The 26,135-nt window shown below is 47.6% G+C and overlaps 1 protein-coding gene across 37 annotated transcripts in view, besides 6 other annotated features; it reads right to left on the reverse strand.

The window, feature by feature from the left end:
- Positions 1–26,135, reverse strand: part of BCL11A (BCL11 transcription factor A) — a 103,405-nt gene that overhangs the window by 46,262 nt on the left and 31,008 nt on the right. For 3 of the 37 annotated variants that reach the window (NM_001405731.1, NM_001405726.1, NM_001405725.1), the window contains exon 3: positions 11,825–12,043. The exons of 32 other annotated variants lie outside the window; for them this stretch is intronic. Coding sequence is in view for 2 of the 5 variants with exons in the window: in NM_001405721.1 (NP_001392650.1) it covers positions 19,646–19,697 (52 nt within the window). In the remaining 3 variants the exon portion in view is untranslated. Of the gene's footprint in view, positions 1–11,824; positions 12,044–19,645; positions 19,738–26,135 lie in introns of all 37 variants that reach the window. 2 more of the 37 variants (NM_001405721.1, NM_001405720.1) reach the window with 1 other exon arrangement.
- Positions 180–789: an enhancer, noted in NCBI's record as "NANOG hESC enhancer chr2:60724096-60724705 (GRCh37/hg19 assembly coordinates)". NCBI's record gives its function as "activates a minimal SCP1, AML or CMV promoter by ChIP-STARR-seq in naive H9 embryonic stem cells {active_cell/tissue: H9 hESC(naive)}" and the evidence as "EXISTENCE:reporter gene assay evidence [ECO:0000049][PMID:30033119]".
- Positions 2,503–2,572: a silencer, noted in NCBI's record as "silent region_11510". NCBI's record gives its function as "represses an Ori minimal core promoter by ATAC-STARR-seq in GM12878 lymphoblastoid cells {active_cell/tissue: GM12878}" and the evidence as "EXISTENCE:reporter gene assay evidence [ECO:0000049][PMID:35858748]".
- Positions 3,213–3,422: an enhancer, noted in NCBI's record as "active region_15809". NCBI's record gives its function as "activates an Ori minimal core promoter by ATAC-STARR-seq in GM12878 lymphoblastoid cells {active_cell/tissue: GM12878}" and the evidence as "EXISTENCE:reporter gene assay evidence [ECO:0000049][PMID:35858748]".
- Positions 16,411–16,520: an enhancer, noted in NCBI's record as "active region_15810". NCBI's record gives its function as "activates an Ori minimal core promoter by ATAC-STARR-seq in GM12878 lymphoblastoid cells {active_cell/tissue: GM12878}" and the evidence as "EXISTENCE:reporter gene assay evidence [ECO:0000049][PMID:35858748]".
- Positions 18,777–18,906: an enhancer, noted in NCBI's record as "active region_15811". NCBI's record gives its function as "activates an Ori minimal core promoter by ATAC-STARR-seq in GM12878 lymphoblastoid cells {active_cell/tissue: GM12878}" and the evidence as "EXISTENCE:reporter gene assay evidence [ECO:0000049][PMID:35858748]".
- Positions 19,017–19,136: an enhancer, noted in NCBI's record as "active region_15812". NCBI's record gives its function as "activates an Ori minimal core promoter by ATAC-STARR-seq in GM12878 lymphoblastoid cells {active_cell/tissue: GM12878}" and the evidence as "EXISTENCE:reporter gene assay evidence [ECO:0000049][PMID:35858748]".

The raw sequence follows: 26,135 nt of genomic DNA on the forward strand, positions 1-26,135 counted from the left end.
TCTCTCTCTCTCTCACTATGCTCCCAAGAGGAGTCTTACATCAACCCCTTCCTCAAATCTCCCTCACTGGATGTCACAGTCATAGGCCTGAAAAGCAGCATGCAAACTGAATTTTTGTAAAGCAGGACCCATTTCCCCATGGACAGTCATAAGAGATGAGTGAACACAATGTAGCACTTAATTTCTGTCTTCACGATTACTTCACGATAAATCTGGATTCCAAAGGGACTATAAGCTCTCACATGGAAGGAAGCAAGATCTCTACTCCTCCCCCAGTGTTGAGTGGACAGGGAGTACACCGCAGACACCTGTTGGCCAACCAATTCTAATTCCCTTTAGCTAGCATCCCCTAAGCTAGAGCTAGAGCTAGAGCTATTTCCTTGCAGCCTTCCTTTTCTCTAGCAAAGTCCTTCCATGCAGTAGCTAATGACCTGTAAACACTTAATGAGCTAGAGAAACATTCCATTGAAAGGAATACCACTGTGCATCCTTTTGTAAAGAGGGGGGAAAATCTTTTGTAAAACGAAGCATCGCCTTTAACTGCTCTGTTTGATCAAGTCAGATTTTTCAGAATATGAATAGCTAGTATTCAAGCATATATGAACTGTCTTTAAGTTAATCAATCCCTAGAAACTAGCCCTCAGGTTAGCAGGCCAAGGATATATGAGAGTGCTTTGAAGTCTAGACTTAAACTGCCGCTCCTGAATTGAATTAGAACATTCCAGGTAGACAGATTCATGGCCCCTAACATCAGGAATCAGCTAGAAACTCAATCGGCTCTTACCAGTCACTACCTACGTCAGTGCCATATCCTATAATGGTGATGATAATGACCATTATGATGATGATAATAATAATAATAGCTTCCACTGGATGGCACTTTGCACCTTCCAGAGCAATTTAACATCCTTTACTTTTTTTGGAAGGCCTTCAGGTCCAGCCTCCTACTCTTCTCTTTCTCTGAACTATCACCTTACTATAGGCACATATTTCCCCCAAAGGACTCAGTGGCCTCTTTTGTCTCATTTCTCCCTTTGCTGATGATCCAGTAGAGAAATGATCAAAAGGATCCTGCACATTGTCCTAAATGAAACCAAGCTTCCTCTGCAGGATGGAAGTGAGCCAGGTGATAGAAGGGGGAGCCTGGACCCACCGCTTCATTGGCCGAGGATGACCCCATAAAGGTCAGGGTGTTGCAGAGATTGCTATGCACAAAATCCAAGAGGCCCATGGAGGTGGGGAGATGAGGGACCCACCTGGCAGACCCTCAAGAGCAGGGGTCTTCTCTTTGGGGGAGGACATCACTCTTAGCAGGGCTGGGGTGAGTCAAAAGTCTGGGAGAATGGAGGTGTGGAGGGGATAACTGGGTCAGACCCCAAGCAGGAAGGGCCTCTATGTAGACGGGTGTGTGGCTCCTTAAGGTGACCCAGCAGCCCTGGGCACAGAAGTGGTGCGTGGAGATAATGCCAACAGTGATAACCAGCAGGGCCTGTCAGAAGAGGCCCTGGACACTGAAGGCTGGGCACAGCCTTGGGGACCGCTCACAGGACATGCAGCAGTGTGTGCCGACAACTCCCTACCGCGACCCCTATCAGTGCCGACCAAGCACACAAGATGCACACCCAGGCTGGGCTGGACAGAGGGGTCCCACAAGATCACAGGGTGTGCCCTGAGAAGGTGGGGAGCTCACAGCCTCCAAGCATTGCATCATCCTGGTACCAGGAAGGCAATGGGCTGCCCCATACCCACTTCCCTTCCTAGAATTGGCCTGGGACATTCATTATTTAGCCACCTCTGGCACCTGCATTTGTTTTTCAAATTTTAATAGCAAATAGGCTTAGTGTGCTGGGCAGAGCTGAGCAGAGGTGATCTGACCCCTCTACCTACTCACATAAGATCAGTAAAGAGAAGGAAGCAGGCAGATGAGGTGACAAGGGGAGAAACCAGTGAGGTCATCTATAGGTCCAAGTTCGTACAGACCCAGCCAGACTGCCAGTTCTCTGAGGAGCTAGAGACTTGTGGCTTAAGGAAGCCTCTCTGATGGATGTACTAATATGTATGTACCTTATACATACATTTGAATTACCTGTAAATCTTGATCAAACTCAGATGACTGTCCAACTCATCCAGAAACTACGTTTGTCTAATAGAACAGGAAGCAGGTGGTGGTGGTGGGTGGTGGGGGGGCATTGATGAGAGGCAGGGCCAGTGTTTCTTCTTCATTTTCCATTCCACTGATTCTGTCCCCACACAGGCATCCAAAGGGAAGAATGCTACAGCTACAGTCCATTTCTCGCTGGCTTTTCTGGGAGATCACCCTACAATGTGTTCCCCAGTATTCAGGTTTCTGGGCTGCCATTATCTTCTCTGGTCTCGGGGCCCAAGCCAAAGAGCTGGAGAACAGTATCTGGCCACAGAACCTAAGGCCTGGTAGAGCAAGACAGCCATGTGCAAGGCGAGTGGATAGCGCCCTTCCGTCACTCCCACAGAGCTGCAGGGGTGTGACGCCCCTGCCCAGCCATACCCTTCTGGGCCACAGTGCTGGAGGCTGAAGTCAAAGCCCATCGTGCCTTATTCCTTCAGGAGCAATACTCCTGGGAAAGGTTGCACATTCTGTAACTCCTCTAAGTGATATTTCTTCCCAGGGGCAAAAAAGGAAATTAGCCCCATTTTATAGATAAAGAGCCTGAGGCCCAATAGGCTGATTGACTTGTCCGGGGCCACCTAGCCAGCAGGTGAAAAGACTCATGTGTAGCTGACTTTAGAGTCCAAGCTCCTTCAACGTCCCACTTTCTCAAGACAGTGTTTGCCACGGGCCAGGGCTAGCAAAAAGACCCCTCCAACCCCTCATACCTCCCCACCAACCCCATGCAGGTGTCAGTGAGGCCCAGGAACATGAAGCTCCCCGGACCAAAGGGGTGGACAGCACTGAAGGAAACCGCTCAACCTTGAGTGGAGAGGCTGCTGTGAAACAGCTCTGGGCAGCACCTGGGCCACAGCATGTGGAAGGAGACATGTTCCTAAGCTGCCTGGTACTCTGCCATCTGTCTTCTCTTCCTCCTAATCCATAAGCACCAGACCTCAAGCCCCATGTGCAGCTCCGGAAGCTGCTAGACCTCAAGCAGGACTAAGATTCGGAGAGAGCAGCCACCGACCTGGCTCCTCCCAGGCAGGCCAGCCCAGGTGAGCCCCTCCAGCCAGGCACTCACCCCACTGCCAGGCTGTTTACTCTTAGCTGGTGTTTGTCTCCTGTCTGCTCTACTGTAGCTCCCTCCCTCCTCTCCTCCTTTCGGTCCTCTGCCCAGGCCTGCCTGAGGCTGCCTGCCAGTGAGATTGCATGTCAGGGCTTTGCCCTGGGCACTGAGGGCTAGGGTGCCCAGAGGCCTGCGGCTGTGCCCTGGATGGAAAACCAGCAGCCTGCAAAGCTGTGGGGGCAGCACAGGACCTGTGTGTGAGAGCGGTGGTCTTGAGAGTGAAAGTGGACAAGTCAAGCCCAGGCGGGGAGGGGACAGGGGGCAGGTAGGGATAGGGCAGGTGAGGTTCCCGGGGCCAGTTCCCCCATTATGCACTGCCTCTGCTTCCCCGCCACCATTAACCGTGCCTCTGTGGGCTGACAGATGTGCCTTCAGAGAAGGGCAGGGAGCAGCTGGGGGCCTGGCCAGAGCAATCATCCCAGCAGGAACTTACATCAGAGCAGGCAGCCTACCCAAGAGCCAGGGAAGGAAGGAGAGCCCCTGAGAAAAAATGGCAGAAGAATGGAAGGGACTACGTGTATTGATGGAATAAACCAGACACCCCACACTTCCCAACTCCTCAGGACAGGGTTCAGAGCTAGGCTGGTGGCTGCTACACAGAGACAGCACCCTCCACCAGTTAAGGTATAAGACAAGGTATAAGGCTGATGGGCTGTAGGCATCAAACCTGGAACTCACAGTCGGGGCACCTCACTTCAAGCCTTGGTGGATAGGTAAGATGAACACTCAGGCTCCCAAGTTAGACAGATGAGCTGGATCCTTCATCTACCACCAATTTCCTGGCTGTGTGTCTGGGAGCAGCTCTTTAACCTCTCCAAGCCTCAGTTTCTTCACTGGTAAAATGTGTATGATGACATTGTATGGCCAACCTGGGGTTGCTGATGGAACTAGTTAAAAGAGTGTCTGTGAAGCAAGCCTAGCTGGGTGGGCTTGCAAGCATTTCTGGGTCGCTGCATCCTCCTCTGTAAAATGGGAGAACCCTGAACTGCTCAGCCGACCTCATGGTTGACTCACTCAGCAACAGAGGTCTCCACAGGAGCCCTGCCCACATGAGACATCTTTGGCACATCTTCTGAAACAAGACCTGTTTCTGGAAAGTTGTTGGTAAACATCCAATTTTGCACTTATTTATATTATTGTTTCAGAAACACTACCTTCATTCTGCTTTGATTCAATGGCAGCCAATTTAATTCATTTGGTCCAAACCTGTAGTGCTACTTGCCAGAACAAAATGGAATGAGCCTCATTCCCTGCCCTCAAGGAGCTCACAGTCCAGTGGCTCTGTCTTTAATATCTATAAGAGCACAGGTAAGTGTCACAGGAAGCCATGGTCCTTTGGGGGAAATGAAGAACACTCTTGTAATATGATTAATCACTTCCAAATACTTTACCTGGTTTGTAAGTTCTCTTTCGGGTGCTTCCCTGAGTGGCAAGAGGGAAAGGCCTTTTGCAAGTACTGACACCGCTTTCTTTTTTTTTTTTTTTTTTTTTGAGACAGAGTTTCGCTCTTGTTGCCCAGGCTGGGGTGCAATGGTGTGATCTCGGCTCACCACCTCTGCCTCCTGGGTTCAAGCAATTCTCCTCCCTCAGCCTCCTGAGTAGCTGGGATTACAGGCATGTGCGACCATGCCTGGCTAAGTTTATATTTTTAATAGAGATGAGGTTTCTCCATGTTGGTCAGGCTGGTCTCAAACTCTTGACCTCAGGTGATCTACCCACCTCGGCCTCCCAAAGTGCTGGAATTACAGACGTGAGCCACTGCGCCCAGCCTTACACTGCTTTCTTAATTACAGCAGTGTGCTCATCTCACATAAAAATTTAAGACGGGAAAACAGGAAGATGCATTCTGAGAAGTTATATCAGCCCCTCTGCCTCTCTACATTCCAAAACAGCCTTTTATTCTAATTATTTTACTAGTGAATTATGGAATAAAGTAGTATTATGTTTCTTTCTACACAACTTGTGTTGCACTAGGTGAAATCTCAGGCTAACAGAGCTTCAGGGAGGAAAGGCCAGACCAAAAATATGCCTCACTCCACAGAGAAGCTGTACCACCAGAAGTCCTGGAAAACTGAGAGGTTTGCATGTTGTAACAATGCAACTCAAGACTATCAGAATGATATGAATATTTGTATAGATACTTATCAAAGCAACAATCAGAGATCAGGTCCCTCCAAATGAGCTTACAGTTTATGATCCTGCTTTGTAAAAGCTGGTGAAACAAAATGATGGATAGCAGATTTGCTGAGCTCCAAAGTCAGGGAGTAGGTAAACAGTGTGAACGTGTCAGCTCCCTCCTGGCTCTCCTCTACATTCTGTGAGCAAACGGAAAAATAAACCATCGGAAAAAGTCTCAGCCTAATAAAACTGCACAGACAGAATAACTTCTTCATCAGATTCAGAAGAGTAGCAGGGGGTTTCTCGCTAGCACAGATTTGAGCTCTGCCATCACACACTTTGTACATACAATTCTGGGATCTCAGGTATTGCTCCTAAAGAAAGAGCCAGCTTCCTTCTCTTATCTTCCTCCAACATCCAAAAGCAGTGTTCACACCCAATCCCATGCTTTCTAATATTAAAATATGAATTTAAGAAATACCAGTGAAAAGAGATTTTTTAAACCAGAAACTCTTTGTGTTGTAATGTTCTTGATATGTTAATAAAACTGTTTTCAATCATCATCAGAGAAAAACAAATTTACCTCTGATCATGGTAGCACAGTAGAGCAGAAAGAGCACTCAATTGGTGATCAAAAGAAATAAATTCTAGTCCTGTCACCCAGAAACTATGTGACCAGGGGAGGTACTTAATCTCTAAGAGAATCAAGTCTCGAGTGGGTAAAATGAGCTGGGGAAGGAGTGAACCAGTGAGAAAGAACACTGGTCTGTCTGGGGCTCCCAGAAGACACAGCCAGACTTCTTTCTTGCTCTTGTCCAAACACCTCCTTGTCTTTTAAGGCCTGGGCTGTCTAGGGGGATGGCTACTGGCTTGGAGCAAAACCAACGTGTCTGTCATCTTAATACACACGGAATGTGTTGAAATGAAGGTGTCTGTGTGGAAGGGACAGACCCAGATCCACTCTGCATTTGTCCTGGCAATGGGAGCAGGAATGAGTCCACCTTCTCTAAACCTGGTCACTCCTAGTCCCAAGATGGAGAAGCCACATCACCCTTGATCATGTTAGCCCCATTCTGCAGCCTCAGGAGGCTCTGACCAGGTGGAAAGCCAGAATGGGGTCCAACCAGGAGACCCAAGACAGAAAAGGCAGGTGGCTGCAAGGAGCCTCACTTCTCCAGGCATTGTGACTTTTTATTAAAAACCCTTACCCATGCCACCCACCGCAGCCTGGACAGGCATTCCAGGAGCCAGACATGTCCCTGGAAGACAGTAGGCTATTGCTTCCTCTGAGCACTGCAACAATTTTCTCTGGACCCTCTCCTCCACCTATTCACAGATGGGGCATAACCCTCCCTCCTATCCATTAGATTGCCCAAATCTGGGAAAATAATGTGTGGCGCTCAGGTCTGAGTGCAGACCAAGCTCCCAATACCAGTGGCTCTTTCAGGCTTACAAAGCCTTGGTGGTTTCCACACCCAGCAGTTCCTACCCAGGACTGAGAAGCCCTCAGCAAACACCCAGATGGCCCTTGTTCACCCTCCTGGAAACCTATAGCTGCCAGGGAAATGTGACATTTTGTGAGGACTAATTTAACCCGCCTAGAAGATTTAGGAGCCAAGATGCAACCCTAAAGCCCACTGCAAGGGACAATATTCTGGATCTTTTGTCAGAGCTTTATTATTTTAATAAAATTTTTATATTAAACAGCAATTCACATTCATCTAAACCTCCTGAAAATTGGTTATTGGCTGCTTCGTTGATTCTAGAAAAAAAAGAAAGCAAGAAATGCAGGAAAGGAACGAGGGGGCAGAGAGGGAATGAAAGACACTGAGTATTAAGGCCCAACCCAGCCAAAACCCCATCTGCTAGAAGCCTGCTGGAAGCCTACATGGCTTCGAGCGGCACATTCTGAGAACTCTGAAGAGTACCACTCAGCCGACACTGCCCCCATGACATAGGGCCCTGGTCTCCTCTTTGACTCACACTTGCCTGGCAGGACTCCCCAAACAGAACAGAGATGCTCAGCCGGGCACAAGAGAGCAGGCCCCAGGGCTCATGCTGCACTGTGGTTTCCCCAGCAATTCCAGAACTGCTGCCTACCGGCACGCATGCAGGATCAATGATGAAGATGCAGTACCTTCTGGGTCTGCCTGGGTCCACCCTTCCTTTCTTAGTCACTGCAAGATTTCACCCAGCCCAGCCACCCACTGAAAAGGCAGAGGAGGCCACCTATCTGAATGCTAGGATATGACACACTTGAACCTTCCTCCTGGCCAGCCTGCTCTCCCAAAGAAGGAATAACAGAACAAAAAAGTCAACCTCTGACTACTTCTGGTTTGTAAATTTATACCAATGTTCTTCTTGAAGTGGGAGCTCAGCATCGGGACACCCAGAAAAAATAATCTCCAAGGCAAAAAGCAAATAGCAGAATGAGTCTGCTGAAACAGCCAACTCTGTCTCTGTCTCCCCCAAGCCCTCCTAGTCAGAACGTTCTCTCAGCATTTCAGCAGGTACTGCTCACCTGGAAATACAGCTGATGTATTTACTGAGAAGCTTCTTCAAGCTTTCTACTGGTGCTTAGGGACAATGCCAATCAAGTCTTGAAATTATATAGAGAGGTGGAATATCAGGTACATATCTGTCCCTGAAAATGCTTAAAAGATCAAACTGATTCCTATCACATGCCTCCCCTACCAGTGAGCGCCCACCACTAGCTTCCTTGCTCCAAACTATTAAAACAGAGCGTCCCCCCAAAAAAACAGCCTTCTGCAAGCCACAACTTCCCTACCCTGTGTGCAGGCTGTGGAAGCGTGGGGTGGACCCAGAAGTATAAGGAGTTCTGGATCAGAATCCCTAGTCTACCCCTGCGGCTGCATGAGACCAGACCTGCCATTTAACCTCTCTAAGCTTCAACTACCCTTTCTCCTGCCTCTTCACAGGGTTACTCATGAGGTGAGTCTCAATTTGACAATACTCCTCAAAGGGCTTACTCAAAAAAAAAATGTGATTTTATCCGTATCCTCATTACTAACAGCACAATGGACATTCGAAAGGGATGGGCCCAATTTTTCATAAGCCAAAAAAGCTAGAGGATCGGAGAGAAAAGAAGGGACGGATACTCAGAAACGGCTTCAAGGGTGTCCTTTGGCACCCCATTCTTCCAGATTGTTCCAAATGCCTGCTGCAGTAATAACAGCCCCAAAAGAACACACCACTTTGTCAGGACTTGTAGGTGAAATGTGTTGGAGCAGCTGTCAGCTTGGGGAAAATCACTCATCAGGTAGTCAGCCGAGTGAGGCTGCCTTCAGCTGGACAAACACTGCATCCACACAGGGAACAAGCGGGTGCTTTCCTGTCCTTCCCTTAGGGGCCAAACCAGCCCTCTTTTACCTTCTTGTCCAACCCAGTGGGCCTCTCTCCCTCAAATGCATACCTCCTTCTCTTTCCTCCAGCTCCCTAAGCTGTTGTTCAGGGCACAGACAGCTCTTCAGGCTGCCAGAGCAAGAGAGTTAGGAAATAACGACCCCTCCACATGCATTCCCACCTCCCGGAAGCAGGGGACACAGCTGGCCACTCTGTGACGGAGGGTGGGTAACCTCTCTACCTGGGTCTATCATTTTAGAATAAATCATTCGTGGCTGACTCTTAAATGGGAAGGGCCAATTACAGATATCTCTGAGAACAACTCTACCTGAGGGAGGGGGAAATCCCTCCCAAAACAACGGTGGGCAGAAAAATCTGCATCCCGTAAATACCCAGAAGCAATAGCAGCCCCACCTGGTTCGTCTGCCAGATGCTGTGGAGATGGCATGGTGGCATTTGGTAAATAACCCAAATAGGGCTTTGCAGGGTATGGGACACCACACTAGGCTTTGCAGCCCGGGTGAAACCAGATGGTGCGAGAAGATAGTGAATCACTCATAGGCAAGGGATGTTAGCACACCTAAAAATCCCCTTTCCCAGCCATCCTTTGACACCCACCATAGAAATCACAGAGAGGTCAGAAAGAACACCTGGGCCCAAAATAGCCTGTCCTGTTAGCCAAATGCCAGCACTCCCACTTTCTCTGAGGGCATGGAGGGGAGGCAGCAGCTAGGGCTCTGGCCTCCTCATTTAATTCTCTCTGCATCAGAGGAAGAGTCACCTTCACAGGCCAGCTGTGGTCTGACTTGCCACATCTAATGCCACCAGGCCCTGCCAGCGGCCCCCATTCTGGTCTGTCAAACCCCTGGAAAACTTCAGACAGTGTTCCTCAGATCCAGGACAGAGCTGGCTCAGGACGCCACATGGGTCAACCCGAGCGCACCAGTCCTCAGACCCTCCAAGGTGACAAAGACCTCACTAGACTGTATCTCATTTTTCCAGCCTCAGTGAGCCGGCCCCAGCTGGCATGCTGAGTCCAGGAAAGCCCTGGCTATACAAAACACAGCACCCACGTGCCTTTGTGCATGGCTGCTTAGAGGGCTAATGATAAAGGCAGCTCACTAAGAAAACGACCGTGCCCAGCAGTCTCCTAAATGGCGAAGGCAGCATTTACCACTGATGACAGCCCCCCGCATGTTTCCTCCTAAACGCCTGATATATATCCATTTTTCTGTCAGCAACCTCAAATAATGTCTATAATGCTGAGATTTATACATGGGTACTTATAAATGTGATTTCATTATAGCCTCTGCAAAACTACCTTTCCGCCTAAACATTCAATTAATGTAATTAAATTGCTACCTGATGGCATTATCTAATTTAACTTGGGATCCAAACTATTGAAAAGCATGTGCCTTTTAACACCCTGACTGGTAAGGCATGTGATGAACAGAGCTATAAACATGTTGGCGTAACTGAGCTGTTTAAAAATAAATTAGCAAACTATAAAAATAAACAGTAACGTACATATGTACTCAATTATGAACTAACTCTAATTTTTGTTCTGAAATACTGTCTTTGACCTTAGTCATAAACAAGCACTATTAAAAAAACATAATATCCCAACAGACAGAGGGCCAAGGATTAAATGCTCTTCTAGCTCTGCAGAATGCAAAGCAAGACAAGGAAGAAAGGAAGGAAGGAAGGAAGGAAGGAAGGGAGGGAGGGAGGGGAGGGGAGGGGAGGGGAGGGGAGGGGAGGGGAGGGGAGGGGAGGGGAGGGGAGGGGAGGGGAGGGGAGGGGAAGGGAAGGGAAGGGAAGGGAAGGGAAGGGAAGGGAAGGGAAGGGAAGGGAAGGGAAGGGAGGGAGGGAAGGAGGGCCCTTGCCTTTCTTGAAAAGCTAGAAAACTGTGTCCAAAACCTACAAAGACTATTGTGCTCTTGTTGACTTGAAGCTGCTTCCGTTCAAGCCAGAAAAGTTAAAACCTTGTGAAGTGCTTTTACATTTTCAGATGTTTTGGAGTCTCTCAAGAAATGAGGACAGGCAAGGGGAAGAACTGTTTCCACATGCAGCTGTTTCAACAGCTCACTGCATAACAGAGTCTCTTACACAGGGCTGCCTCCGCACCTGAGCTGAGCTTGCTGTCCTAAGTCGGCTACTGCTTCTAAGTCCCCAGCTTTTCTAAGACATATGGCAGAAATGTGGAAATTGTCTTCCAAACAGCACAAGACAGAAAGCGGGTGGGGTGGGGGGCGACGGGTGCGGGGAGAAGGGAAGAAGTAAAAACAAGCTGTTGAAACTGTATACAGGACACGTCTTCACAGTAATCCAATGCTCCTGTAACAAAGGACAGCATACTATGGGATAATTACTATGGATTATTATTACAGTTTCTAAAGCAAAAGAACAAAAAAAAATTCACAAAAGACATATTACACACGCAGATTTCTAAAGCTTTAAAATCATATGGTCTTCGGTGTTGGTTCCTATGGGGTTACGGATAATGCCCTAACTGAGCACGACAGATGCAAACACAAAAAAGAAATCACAATAAACCTGAAATTCTCTCATGTCATGGTGCTTACTGCCCTTTCTTTCACAAACAAAAGTAGTTGAGCAACAGCTAAGTAGTTATTCATCTCAAAGAACCAACCTAAAATTCTGACAGGCCCAGCACTGTCTACCCCCACCCCCAAACAACAACAACAACAACAAATTACACAAATAAAAACTAGGAGGAAGCTCAAACTCATCCACACTTGGTTCAGGACACAGGGAAGGCCTGATGTGAAAGAGGAGACAGAGAAGCTTCCTGGGTGTGCAGAATTACACCCCAGGCCACACTCCCTGCAGGGGCCACAGGAGCAAGCACTGCAGCCGGGTCCCTGAGTCTGACTTTTACCCAAACAGGGGGTTGCCAGTTGCTGCGAGACAAATATCCCTAGCACATTACCTAGTTGGCAAAGGAATGCAACTGGGAGGTTCTGGAATAGCACAGTGTGGAACTGCACTGGACTTTTCCTGTTCTGAAGAGGACTTTGCTTTCCTCCGGGATGTAAAGCATTTGGCAGGCAAAGGACAAAACTTACCTCAGGTACTATGGCAAACTGGCCAAAGAGAAGCGTTGCTAGGAGAATGGACACGGCAGGAAACAGCCTCAGCTTGGCCCAGGAAGAAGCTGGCGCTCAGCTACAGGGGCCGTGGGAATAGCTGGAGGCCTGTGCATTTCCCTGAGGGTCTCCTTGGCGACAGGGCTGGACCTTTGCACTGGCAGCCTGGACTCTTCTCTGAGCTCCCCCTTGGGTTACCTATGATTCCAGAAGAGTTTGTTCTACATGTGGCAAAGCCAGCACCATAGAGGGGACAGAGGGAAACCTAAGGCCTACCTTGAGGGATGTTAAACTTACGCCCTACCCACTGCTACTTAAGGTGTCTTTTGAATCCTGAGGACCAAGGAGCTCTCCTATGACAAGGAACCTGTCACTGGTTCTTCTGTGATTGCTAAAGCCTAGAGGACCTCCTCCAAAGAAAAGTGGCTCAGACAGAAACACTGACTCTTATTTCTCATCAGACTCCGAAATCACAGGCTTCTGGTCTAAAGATTCAAGCTGAGAAACAAGAAAGCAATTTGTTTGATTCAGGCCCTTGCAAATTACCCCCCAATAATTTACTTGGTCTCAGCTTTGGCTGGCTTGGATGTTATGAGGATTCCAAGAATTTTTTTACTTTTCCATTAGAGGGCTCTGCACTCTCCTTTCAAGGAAAAAGGCTCTATGTGCCAGCCCACTTCTTTCCAGAAATGGGGAAAGGGAGGAGGAGAACCTGTGGAAAAGAGGACAACGGATTTCCGGAAGAAATTCCAAGCCAGGGGCTAACCGTGGACCTGAGCACAGCAGAGCCACACGGACGTCTCAGAAAACGGTTCTGTGGAAGCACAAGACACGTGGCAGTGAGAGTCCTGAGAAGTCCAGGAAAAGATGCAGCTTCCAACCCATTCCTAAATATCACCAATTAACAGCAGCTCGATGGTCTACCTGAGACCTGAGAAAACAAACGAAGGGAAAGAAATGCAAGAAACAAAGCGCATCTTTCTGGATCAAAAGATCAAGTTGTCTTTGGTAGCTAAAGAACAACAGAGAAGGAAAAAGAACAAAAAGATTAGGAGGAGGAGAAAAACACCTGGCCCTCCCCAAAGAACTCGACTTAAATCATCTCAGCTATAGGCAGTCAACTGGGGCTCTCCGAACAGCCACAATCGGGGGGCTACTCTCTTTCCCCTCACGATCTTCCTGAACAGGGCAGTAGTCTAGCATCCACTGAAGTCCTGAAGTGGTGAAGGAGCCCCAGACACACCCATCCTCTGAGCACCTCCACAGCCTTTCTGGCCCATCCCAATAAACAGCAATTCTATTCTCCCAGTCACCGAGCCACACATTTTGGGGTCCATCTTGACTCCTCCCTTCCTTTCATACAACCCATCCCACCAGTCAGCAAATCCTGCCGGTTTTCCCTTCGAAGTATGTCCAGAATCCAGCCCCTTCTCACGTCCCCACCACCCTGGTCCACGCCACCATCACTTGCCTAAAATTTGCCTTCTGACTGCTTCTGCCTCACTTTCCCATGCTTGAGTCTCAAAATGCGGCCCAAGAGACTCTCTGGAAGCGCAAGTCATATGACATCACTCCTCCAGTGGCTTCCATCTCCCTTGGAGTCAGAGCCAAAAATCCCTGCTCTACGTCCTTCAAGGAGCCAGCTGGTCTCCTCTCCTCCTCCTCCTGCACTCTTTCCACTCTGACCTCAGGGCCCCTTGCTCCTCCTCCAGTAGCCAGGCGTATTACACACAAGGTCTCTGCTCTCTACACACTCTTCCTGGAACCATCTTCTCAAAATTCTCATGGCCAACTTCCTCACCTCTTTGGAGCCTTTGCTTCTCATTGGGCCTTCCCTAATTATCCTATTTAAAAGCCTGGTCACCATGCACCCCTTACCCCTCTTCCCCACCTTATTTTCGTGCAGGCAGTTTGATCTTCTCTTGCCATACTATATAATTCACATATTTATTGGTGCATCTTCTGTCTCTCCCCAGCTAGAAAGGGGGTGCCACAAGAGCAGGGAGTTTTTAAGGCTTTCTATGCCCAACACCAAGAACCGTTCCCAGCATGTGGCAGGTGTTCAAAATATTTGTTGAAAAATGAATGAGTGAACCTTCACAATTCCAAACTGCCAGGAGGCCACTCAATGCCATATCTATAAAACTGTCAGGCAGCCCAACCTGGGGGCACTTTAGCTTTGGATCTTGGGTTTGAGCCAGATTCCATTTTCCCCACAGGCCCTGAGACCCACAGGGAAGAGCTTTTGCATTATAATGTAAATGGAGGGGTTGAGCTGGTTTGGGGGAACCCTTGACAGGAGCCAGTTAAAACCAAACGAAAGTCTTTCCTAAGGCTTAGGTGGAGCCTCTAGAAAGAGGGGCTGAGAGCCTGGGGAAGAGCCAACCACCAGCAGTTCCTCAGAGTTCTTCCCACTGGGGCTGTGCAGCCAACTGCGTTTCCAGGCACACTGAGATGCCCATACTCATATCCAATACTGTGCAGGGGCACTGGCCAGGCACAAATCCCAGCTGCCTCCACGGCATTACTCTCCCTCCATTCTTGCTTTCAGATTCTCCCTCCTCCTGGCAGGGGCACTGGGGAGGGCAGGAGAGAAGGAGGCCATGGCAAAGGGACAAATCCCTTCTACCTGAGAGCCCGGGATGCAGCCAGAAAAGCTAAAATACCCTTTCCCACCCTAGCATACAATTTGACAGGTGAATAAGTGCTCCCCAGTAGGCAATAACAAGGAGAAGTCTGAATTAAAAGAACTCGCCAATTTGGGAAGTAATGTCATTCTATGTGACTCCACTCTTTTCCGTTACCAATAAAACACTTAAAGATGCTATTCATGCAGACATAAAGTGCTAATGGCCACTTGTTACCATGTTTCATAATGCTAATATTTCCCTCTGATTTCTGACAGTTCTTTTTTTTTCCTTCTTCTTTTTTGGGGCTATTTTAAGTTAACAGAGCGCTAATCTGATTCAAAACTGAAGACTCAAAGAGCTACACTCTACATAACTGCACTATTAATGACAACCATTGCTTTACATGTTGCACCATTTCATGAAAACAATCATCACTCAGTCAACGTATTTTCCAAGCCACAGAAAATAAGTTGAAATAAGTTGAAAATGCAGTAGGCAAAGAAGCAGCTAGTCATGTAAGACACTAAGGGGCAGGGGAGTCATTAATTCTTCTCCAAGCTTTCAACACTCTGTTTCTATGAAGGCAAGGGTTGGAGGGAGCTTTTTTCTTTCAAATAAATCAGTAAAATGATGAGGTGCTTCCTCTGCTACGCCCAGTGGCCCAGGCACTCTCACTAAGGTATCCTCCCAGCAATGTAGGTGTTCAAAGGCAAAAGAAAGGGAACCAGCTCATGGCGTAATACTTGCTCGGCCAAAGACATAGTAACGCTTCCCAGGAAATACAAGTGTCACAGTCACTCCAAAATGAATATGTGTGCAGCCACCTGGGCTTGCAACTTAATTCAAACAACTTGGAAGGCTAAGGAGCACTGGAGCTGGGGAGCTGCAGATGAACCCCTGTGCTCACCACCCCTGGAGAGCAGTCAGAGAGGAAGCCTGCTTTCCTCAGATGTTTTAAAGGAAGCCACCTAGAGCCCCACCTGTCACTGTGGAACTGCTCATGGTGGCTGCCCGATGCGCTGATGTGGAACTCAGAATCATTCATTTGGGCTTGTGGCTGAGCTGTGCTAGGTAACTGGGTGGCCTGGGCAAGTCACTTCACCTCCCTTGGCCTGTGTCCTTGAGCTTTCCTGGCTGCACATCTTGCTCTCAGGTATAAAGGATCTGTCTCCTTCTACCTGCCCCTGTGCCACACACACTCGCCTCTCAAATGAGAAAGGCAGCTTTGAGAGAGGATGCTTGCCTTCCCGGCTCCCCTCCCAACCCAGAACCTATCACAATGCTCTGCAGAGAGTACATGCTCAACAAATCCAATGCTAAATTGTAAAAAGTGAGACTAGATGGTATCTGCCTCTCCTCTCAGCTCTAAATTATTTGGTCTAAAGAAAACTGAAGCCCCCAGCAACTCCATTTTGCATATCTAATTGGAGATGGTTTCAATAATATAATTATCAAGGCATCCCTACGTTACTTGAAGTTGGTTCATAATCTGGCGACGTTCACAGCCTTATGAAGACAGTTTATTCTCTTTTAGTGTCTCAAGTATGAGTCACCTCTGATGACGGATAGGAGAACAAGCAGGTTTTACTACAATACACACCTAAAGTAAATGAATAAACCCAACCACTTTGCCCACCCACATGGCATCCATTTGGAGGAGACACAGAGAAAGGAGTTTCACCTCTTAGACGTCTCAGAGATTAACATTTTCTCAAAAATGAACACACAGAGCAACAGCTGACGAGTCACAGTGGACCACACCACCACCTCTGGTTACCCCCTGAGAAAGGCAGAGAAAGGACCCCCAGAACAGTCACCATTTGAGGAGAGGTTCAGGGATCATGAGGACTCACCACCCCACTGAAATCCATGGATAGTCTAGCCTGTGAGGGGTTGGGGGTGGCAAATTACTTTATCTTTCTCATCTTTGAGCGGCTCTTCCCCAGAGTCAGGATGACTCTCACTAGGTTTCAGGTACATCCCCATCATGCCCCGGACTCCAGTCTCTGCAGCTGACACGGCTCCAAGATGCTAAATATGAGACAAGGAGGGGACAAGGAATTTAGTCCCAGGAGTGGCACTAGAAGGAGTCCCTGCTCCCTCAGGAGCCATCTGCCGGGTGCTTCTGGAGATGCTGCCTCCACGCCCCACTTGAGGCTGTCCACAGCAGAAACCAGCGCCCAGATCCCCTCAAGCCAGCCACCCCATGGGAACCCCTTTGGCAGGTGTGGGTGTTGGGTTAGCCTCTAGCCAGAACTCCTGCTGCTTCTCTCTTTGTGGAGCAAATCTTCATGTCCTGTCTGGATCTTCCCAGTCCTGCCCTCTCTCTTCTGAATCTTCCCACCCTTCCAAGGGCCTGCTGCCTAATCCATCTCCCCACTCACACGCTAAAGTAAATGAATAAACCCAACAGCACGGACTCATCCCTGATCAGGACTGAAAAAAGAAAAAGAAATAGCCTCCCATCACACCACTCTCTGGGAAAATAGAACTGAGTCCTAGCTCTAGCACTGGGCACAGCTGGGTCAGCACCTACGAAGGGTCCTATGCAGTGAACACCTTGCAGTCTGAAGGGCAGACTCTCTCTTCTCAACAAGCCAGAGATTCTCTGCCTTCCAGACAGGCACCTCCATGAAGAGAAGCTGTTCCTGGCTTGTGGTGAGCAAAACTCCCTGGATTGAGTCGAGACCTGGATTCTAGTTCCACTACTTTGAATTCTCTAGGTTCACAGTCCTAAATCCTCAGAGAAGGACAGACTTGAGGGCAGACAGCCACAGGTGGCCTGGCATGGGCTGAGGCAGCACACAAGGACTCTGAGCCACACCAGCCATCTCCTTGTGGACTTTCCTGAGAGCACGTGCAGCTAGCAGTGCTCCAAGCACTCTCTGAGAGGCTTCCAGGCTGGAGCTCTGAGAGGCTTCCAGGCTGGGCTACCTCCAGCCATGTGGTGGAAACTGGTAGCAAAGGAAGCCCAGAAGGGCCACAACTGAACTAGAAGGCTAAGGAACACCCCGGCCACTGGTGGGATCGCAGTGCTGAGCCATGAGCCCTACCAGGCAACCCATTTCTGGGCAGTCCCAAGACTTGGAGAACAAGCCATCTGAAAATAGAATTAAATAGCCAGGTGCGGTGGCTCACACCTGTAATCTCAGCATTTTGGGAGGCCGAGGCGTGTGGGTCACCTGAGGTCAGGAGTTCAAGACCAGCCTAGCCAACATGGTGAAACCCCATCTCTACTTAAAAAAAAAAAAAAAAAAAAAAATCAGCCAGGTGTGATGGCATGCACCTATAATCCCAGCTACTTGGGAGGCTGAGGCAGGAGAATCACTTGAACCTGGGAGGCGGAGGCTGCAATGAGCCGAGATCGTAGCACTGCACTCCAGCCTGGGCGACAGAGCGAGACTCCATCTCAAAAAAAAAAAAAAATTAAATTGGGTGGGGGAGTTTCTTAGGAAAAAAATCAGAGTTGTGCAAATAAATCTAGTTGGTCTGACTGTCTTTACAACACAATGAAAGGGTAAGGCACCATAAGAGGCTGTGAATTCCATTGATAAGAGAGGATTTCCCTACTCAAATATCAAAGGTCTTGCATACACATACACTAAAACAGAAAAAAGAAAAAAAAAAAAAGAAAAGAGAGACAGAGAGAGAGAGAGAATCACCTTTTAAACTCATCCAAGAGCCAGTCAAAGCCACCCAAAGGAAAGCAGGCCCCAGTCCCTTCCGAACTCAGCCGTTCTCCCTCTGGTGAGACAGGCTCTAGCTTGTTTCCAGAATGCCACTACCAGCTTCCCACACCTCCAGGGGACCCCCTAACTCCAAAGTGTTGCCCAGACCTAAGGATCCTCCCCCACGTGCTCCTTCCCCAACACTGGCTTCCAGGTGAGCGAGACAGAATCTGCAAGCAGAGTTCACTGCTTGACCATGGGGTGAAAGCCACAAAGACACCACCAGCTATCCCAACCCCAGCACTTTCACTTTTTCACTTTCTCCCCAGGGAGGAAGGGGGAAATAAACTTGCCCAGCCTCACACCTTCCCTGGACAGGGAGCTGGGGATCCATTCAAAGCCCGGTCTTTCTCTGTTCAATCAAGCAGCGTGAGCAAAGTACAGATTAAATACTACATATGAACCAGCATTATGTTAGGCACCAAGAAGGCACAAAAAATAAAACATGACTCCTGCCCTCCAAAAGGTTATAATTTGAGGAGGAGAAAATACACCCACGAGCCAATGTGAATACCACTGATCCCCTTTTAACTAATCCCAGAGTGACACCTCCTCCAAAGAAAGCCAAGTTGCTGACAGAGTCAGGCCTTCCTAGTTACCTAGAAAAATGGCCTGGGGAGGTCCAGCCCACTAGAAGGAGATACAGAAACAAGCCCTCCATAAATATCTGTGGGACCCAGCTACCTCTCTGAAACACAGCCCAGTGCTTTCAGGCAGGGAGAAAGTGGTGGTGGGTGGCGGACAGAGATGTGAGTGGACTGACACAGACATGGGGGCTTCCAAATGACTCTTGATCACCCAACTTTCCAGCTTCCCCATTTCTGCCCCTGACTTGAGCTCCCAGGCCACTCAACCCACTGTGAGGTCTTACTGTGGGGATTACCGAGTCACCACCAGGCTGCGCTGAACAGGAAGTGAACAAGTCAATTCGAGAAAGATCCAATAAGGGAATATTCTCTGGGCACCGCTGGGCCAACACCCACGGAGGGGTCCTGGAATACAAATACCCTGGAGTCTGAAGGGCGGTGGCCCCTCTTCTCACCACTTCAATTATGTCTTCATTGAACTGGGTTATGAAAAAGGGAAGCAGGGATTGAAAATCTAGCCTTGTGGCCATAAGCCTGTGATGACTCATGCCAGCTTTGGGTGCTCTAAGATGCTTTCCCATGTCTGTAATGCTTTTCATATCATCCTACACACTCACTGTCACCTCTCCTCACCCCAGCACACAGAAAAGATGTGCTTATTATGTGCACTTAGGTTTTGTTGTACTATTAAACACAATGACCCACTCCTATTATTAAAACACAGGTTTTGCTGGAAACTCAAAAAAGACTTGGCTCTGCTGGCTCACAGGGAATCTGGGCTCCGCTCTTCCAAAACCTTTGTTCTCCAGATGTCAGTGCAAAGTTATGAACAGCTCTCCCCCTGAGCTAACTTACCGAGCAGTAAGTGAGGCAAGAAAGGCCACTCACTATATTTCTCAGCCTCCATGAAGTCGTCACTGGGAGAGGAGCCAAGAGGGAGGGGGCACCTTAGGAGACAAGATCGTAACTCACCGTCATCCGGGGAAGTGGAGAGGAAGTCAGGGAACTCGTGTCAGGAGTGGAGAGCTAAGCTCAATATGGACAAGGACAGAGAGGGGCACCTGGGATGGGAGAAATGTGGCATCAGGACAACTGGGAGTGAAAGTTTAACTGCCCTCAAAGATGGCTGACAAAGATCTAGCATTCCTAGTGGACACCAAGCTGAGCATGAGTCATCAATGAAGCACTGGTTTTTAAAAAAGCAAGCAGGACATAAGAGTGCAGACATAAGACTAAAGAATGTGGAAAACACTAAGATATCTTGCCATTGGACTCTGTAGTTATCAGACTAATGTTTGAGTAAAAGAGCTGGAAAACCAGCAGATTCTAAAGAGAGGCATAGAAACAATAAATGGGTTACAAGATAATAGATCCATGAGTTCAGGTTCAGGAAAGAGATTATTTAGGAAGAAGAAGTGGCGGAGAATGGAATGAAGAATGTAAAATATGAAGCATTTCAGCCCAAAGCTGGTGATGAGATACTTTGTCGTCTCTGGAATGAAGAGGAAATGGGTTTAAAATGAAGCATAAGGGATCGAAGGTAGACAAAAGGAAGGATTTCCTGCGATTGAGAGGTGTCTTTAAAAATAGAACTAGGGTGGTGAGGAAGAGGTTGGGCTGGCCAATTCTGGAGGGCCATCTGCCCCTGAGAGGGTACACGTTCCTTCACCACCCCAACTCCATCTACTCCATTATCTCCAGTTATCTGAATAAAAAAGCCAAGCTATTCCCTGGGCACACCATGTAAACCCCAGAAGGGCCACACTTTGGGAGCCCTAGCAGGAAAGGTGGTAGGAAGACCAGCCCCGAAAAAGGGCAGAGAAAACAGGGAAAGGAACAAGGCAAGAAGAAAGGGCAAAGGACCATTCTCTGCAACAGCACAGGTGATTGGGTGGTGGTTTTGTTGCTTGGGTTTTACCATGGGCTCCCCAGGTTAGCACTGCCACAAAAGCACCAGGCTCTTCAACAAAGCTCCAGTTAAGAAAAGCATTCCAGCCATCACCGATAAAAGCGTGGGTGCAAGTTCCTCTGCAAAGCACATGCGGGCCACCTCTGGCTCCTGCTGGCCATGGAGAGGCCATGTGCGATTGGTACAGTCAGCCAGGAATGAAAGTGGGAAGCCCCAGGCTCTGGGCCAAGTCTACCACTGCCTAGCAAGTAGACTCTGGCACTCACTCCCCTCTTAGCCTCAACCTTTCTCATCTGTAAAATGACAGGGTTAATGATATGACTTCACAAGTCTATGTCTACATAGAAGATGCTCAATAAGTATTCACTTTGGCTTTCCACGAAGGAAACTATCTATGCTCAAAGAGCTGTGCTTTCTTCTATGATTCCTCAGAAACTCTTGTCGACTAGAGGAACAAGAACCTTACTCTAAAACCCAATTTTAGGGGAGGAGAGAAAATTTTTAAAAGACTTTAAATTAATTACTTGAAGGCCAGAGGCATTTGCTTATGCCTATAATCTCAGAAATTTGGAAGGCCACAGAGGGAAGATTGCTTGAAGCTAGGAGTTCAAGACCAGCCTGGGCAACATAGCAAAACCCTGTCTCTACAAAAAGCTTAATAAATAAAATAAAATAATTGCTGAGATTTAGCTATCTTTTCAAAGAAAATATAAAATTTGGCCCAGTTTTTTATCTATCAAACCTAGACCTAAAATCATCTTGTCTCATTCCCTCTGTCAACATCTGCTGAGCTCTCATAATACATAAAACATCATAGATAAAGGAGTCACAGGATTAGACCTACCGTTCCATACCAGTGTGTTACAGCCTGTCATGAAGCAGACTCAGAGAATTTGGCTACTACTTAGTACTAACATTTAATTTAGTTTTAAAATGTCTGCGATAGAGCAGATTCAGGATTATGCCTGTAAGATGACATTCCAACTCACCTGCATTTAAATATGAATAAAGAGTGAGCAGAAGGGACCAGGTAAAAATGGCACATGGGAGGGCATCGCACATGTGAATTTTAGCTTCCCACACGCAAAGGCATGGGGGGACAAGGCAGGAAGCATTGCTCTAGATCTGAGAATCACCACACACCAGAGAGGGCATGGGAGGTGACACACAAACCCAGCAGAGAACGTTGAGAAAGAGTTTTAAGAGCCTACTCATCATCAGAGTTCACTTAAAAGTCCATCCAGAATCAGAACGTGGGATGGGGTGCCCCAAGGCATTCCTGGGGGCCGGGCGTGGATTTTAAGGACTCATCAATTACTGTTCAAGTTCAGGTCAAGCTGGATGGACACCATCCACATGGTGTTGCTCGATGGGCAAAGATCAAGAGGCAGTCGTTCACCACCAGCCGTATTTCCTGGGGCTGCTTGTTACTGACATTCTGTCATTCAAGGTGGGTCCTGAAGCCACAGTAAGCACCAAATCTGCTCCCTACAATCCACAGCAAAAGGAGAGTTCCTTCTTTTAAAGAGCGATGGCACACATCTCTCAACTCTTGAGAGAAAATGGACAGAAGTGGGATTTTTCAATCCTGATACCAGCAGGAAACAGGGAGTCTCTGGTAGGTACTACCAAACCAAGAAGCTTCTTTTCTCCCAAGTACACCAGGAACCCCTTTCAAATACAGGCGCTACAAAAAAAGAAATAGGTGTGAAAGCGGGGCAAGAAAGGGAACCTGAGGACTATGCATGCTCTGTCTATGGGTATCAACACCTTTAAGGCATTTTGCGGTCTTTTTGATTCTATAACCTCCATATTGAGAGACATAAAACACAGAACATTACACCTGTCAGGTGCTGGGCCCTGAACTATCTCCAGGCAGCTGAAAGTCAGTACATCAGCTTTTTAATGATGTGAAAGTTAAAGATTAAAAACATGTTGGAACGCTTACTTTATGCAGTGCCAAAAATGTGTCTATAACCTGTAAGGAGAGATGGGTGTGGAACATCGTAGGAAAAAGGTGACTGCACTCATGCTGCAGAGAAAAAATAAGGTCCTCACTTGCCTGCCTGCCTGCCTGCCTGCCTGCCTGCCTGCCTGCCTGCCTTCTTTCCTTACAAGAGAAATCGCTCCTGAAATCTGACGTGCTTTGCAACAGCAGTAAGTTGACCACTGGAGAAAGTGAGGCTGGAACCACTGGAATCTTGTAGATTTCTGAGGCCAGTTCTGTTCTGACACATGCAGCTGGGAGCCACTGGTTTAGGAATTCACGTGGGCATGGGACTGTGCTTATTCAGAAAGGGCTCCCAGTCACATCCTGTATTCTCCTAAATTACTCCAATGACAAAGAAAACTCAGTGAAGACAAAGAGATCGTTTTCATAGGCATTGTCATTTGCCAATCCATAACTCAGGAATTCATGGCTATGCTTGGATAATTCTCTCTAGACTTGGAGTGTTAAAAGTTTGCACCTAGTTATTCTCCCCTCTCTCTGGCAGGAGAATCATGTCACTGGCAAGCAATTATTGTATCCTCTTCAAATAATTCGGCCTAAATTTTCATTTATGCCTGTGTATTTATGCACAAATGTGTGTATGATATAGTATTATGGCTTCTTTTTCTGAAAATTGAAAAATTCAGAAAGCCAAAGATAATAGAATATACCTTGCGTGGCAAGGTATATTGATTAGGTAGGAATCAAAAATAATTGCAAAATTATTTATGCAGGAGTATTAAAATTTTCCTCAAAAGTTCCCAGGCAAATGGGTTCCTCTTTAATTTTCACCCTTACAATAAACTCTTCTGCAGGTTTTGTTTATTTTGAGGAAACATTTCACTTTTTTTTTCAAGACATGAGGTGTGAATGATGCAAAACAGTATTTGGATATGTAAACTGAATTATTTGCATAATGCATTACTAATCAGTGAGTATAAATTCTGGAGTCTGAGGACCTGAAATCAAGTGCCACCAAATTTTTTAAAATCTAGATTATAAAAGTAAAGAGCATCACCCTTCGGTGGGATAATGTACACATTTGTGTACACATTCGCATTCCGTTTATAAGAAGGAGAAATTATCCTCACAGAGTTTTCTGAGGAAAATTAAATAAGTGGCCTTTGATGTAAACTGTTTTGCTCTGACTCAACACTATGAGGCATAAGGTCCTAAATTCATAGGCACAACCACAGAAGCACCAAGGAGAGTGAAGATATTTGCATCAAAAAGAGCAGACAGTCCCCCACCCCCACCCCATGTTGGTCGCCTACGGAATCTACAGGAATCTGAAGGGGCAGCCAGACATTCTGCCTATACCACCCATCAGATCAGCCACCAACCGAACCAAAAACCACCCATGCCCTTCTCCAGTGGGTTCCCACCGGTGTTTTCGTGCAAGCTTAGCCCCTTCTTTGCAGAAAAAAAGATATTGATGTGCCAACAGTAGAAAGAAGAAAAAATTATTCCAGCTCTGTACACAACCTTTGTCAACCCAGCATGATAAAACCAAGTCTGGGAAACTATTTGTCTAAACACTTTTTGGAAAGGGATGAAATGGAGAGGAAAGGAAAAGGAAGTGTAGCCTAGTGGTCAGCACACACACACACACACACACACACACACACACTCACACACACACACACACACACACTCACACAAATCCTTGAGGGTGCCAGGTTACATTTCTACAACAGCTGCCTTCCATTGTCTACTGCCAGTGAAGCCAAACCAGCCTAAAATTTAATTTAATCTGCTGTAAACCCAAGTATCAGGCACTTAGATGGCAGCTAAAAGCGCCACTCTCAGATAACTGAGTGACACTTGCTAATAATAGCCTCTGTGTGAAGCGAGAGAGAGCGGACATTTTGTAAAACCAGAGGGACCCGGGCCTGGGCCTGGGCCTGGGTCTGGGAATGGTGTGATGTGGTTAGGCCAGTCTCAGCTTCCAGGCAGCAGATACGGCAGAGACGAGGCCCACCATGGCTCCCCTGTGACGGGCTGCACGAAGCCCACCAGTGACCTAGCTTTCAAGTCACACAGCGACAGTCCTGGCTTTTGCTATCTAGAAGAACAAAATTCCCCTTTCCAGCTCTGCAATTGCCACTCTGCTCCCTTTCATCTTCCATCTTGTGCCCCAGTCCTCCCTTAAAGGGAAGGCTGCTTAACCCTTGACGTGTTCTTTGTCCCCTTCTTTCTGAGAGTGTGGTCAATCTCCTCTCAGGCAAATCATCTTTCTCTAATAGCCAGGGCTCAAATGGCCAAAGAAAGGTCCCAAAGCCTTGTCTTCATAACACTACCAGCCACGTGAGCACGTCCCAGCTGCTTCTTCCTGACCCTCACCACGAGGCACAGAGGCACCTGTGCTGAAACTCAAGCAAACGCCACATCTGACTCTGCCTCATGCACTGAAAAAGACAAGGGATCTCTGTTCTTCCAGGAGAATGGGGGACAGTGCACAGTACAGACCCTTAAATGACCCCTTCACAATGAACTTCCCAGATACAAGACTTGAGCTCACAGGTACTTTCTTGCCCATAGGACACTTGTCCCCTTGCTACCTCTGAGCCAAACCCTTGGTGAAGAAACAACACCGACTAAACAAGGCCATACTGCTCTCCACCAGTCAGGCAATACCTTTATTTTCTGGAAAAATCTCAAATACTACAAAAGTAGAGAGAATGTTATAAATCAGTCCCCAAGTCCACATCTTCCAGCTCCAACCACCACAGCTCACAGTCATTCTTGTCTTCTGTAACCCTATCGCCTCCCTAGCCCATTTTATTATTTAAGTTGATCCCAGACGTCATATCATTTCATCAGTAAACACCTCTGTATGTATTTTTTAAACATAGGAACTCGTTTTTTTTCTTTTAAATACAACTGCAAAACCATTATCACACCTAAAAATAATAAAGTCACAAATAAAGTCCCGTATTACCAAATAGGGGAGTTATTTTAAACTCAGAAATACTTCTTTCCATCTGGGTCATGTTTTGGAGGATCCCTTCCAGTGAGGTTCAAGACTGAAGCTGCCAAGAAAAGCTTCAGAGAATCACACTCTCTAAAAAGGGCCTTGTGTAAAGCCACCTTGCATGTCAGCCCAAGCTCCTGCCCCTTGCAGTCCTTTGCCCTGTTCAGGGCTGAATGCACCCTCTGAGAGTCTCTGTGACAGTCCTCCCACATCGACTGCCCCACAGGCCCTGAGTCTCCCTCACTCCCCACCATGTGGCCCATCACCACATCCGACAAGCAGGTGCACTCCCAGTGTTCAGAACTGGAATTCATTTGTCTTGGAAGAAAGTGTTCTCCTGGACGGTTCTGCACAGAATTCATTCACAGAGCATGTCTTGGATATACAGCTGACTAGATATGTCAGTTATGTTCCAAATGGGTTTTCACAGGTCAAGGTTCTGCAGGCAAGAGCAAATACTATTTTTAGACAG

Source organism: Homo sapiens, chromosome 2, assembly GCF_000001405.40.
Source record: "Homo sapiens chromosome 2, GRCh38.p14 Primary Assembly".
In the NCBI taxonomy this organism is placed as follows: Eukaryota; Metazoa; Chordata; class Mammalia; order Primates; family Hominidae; genus Homo; species Homo sapiens.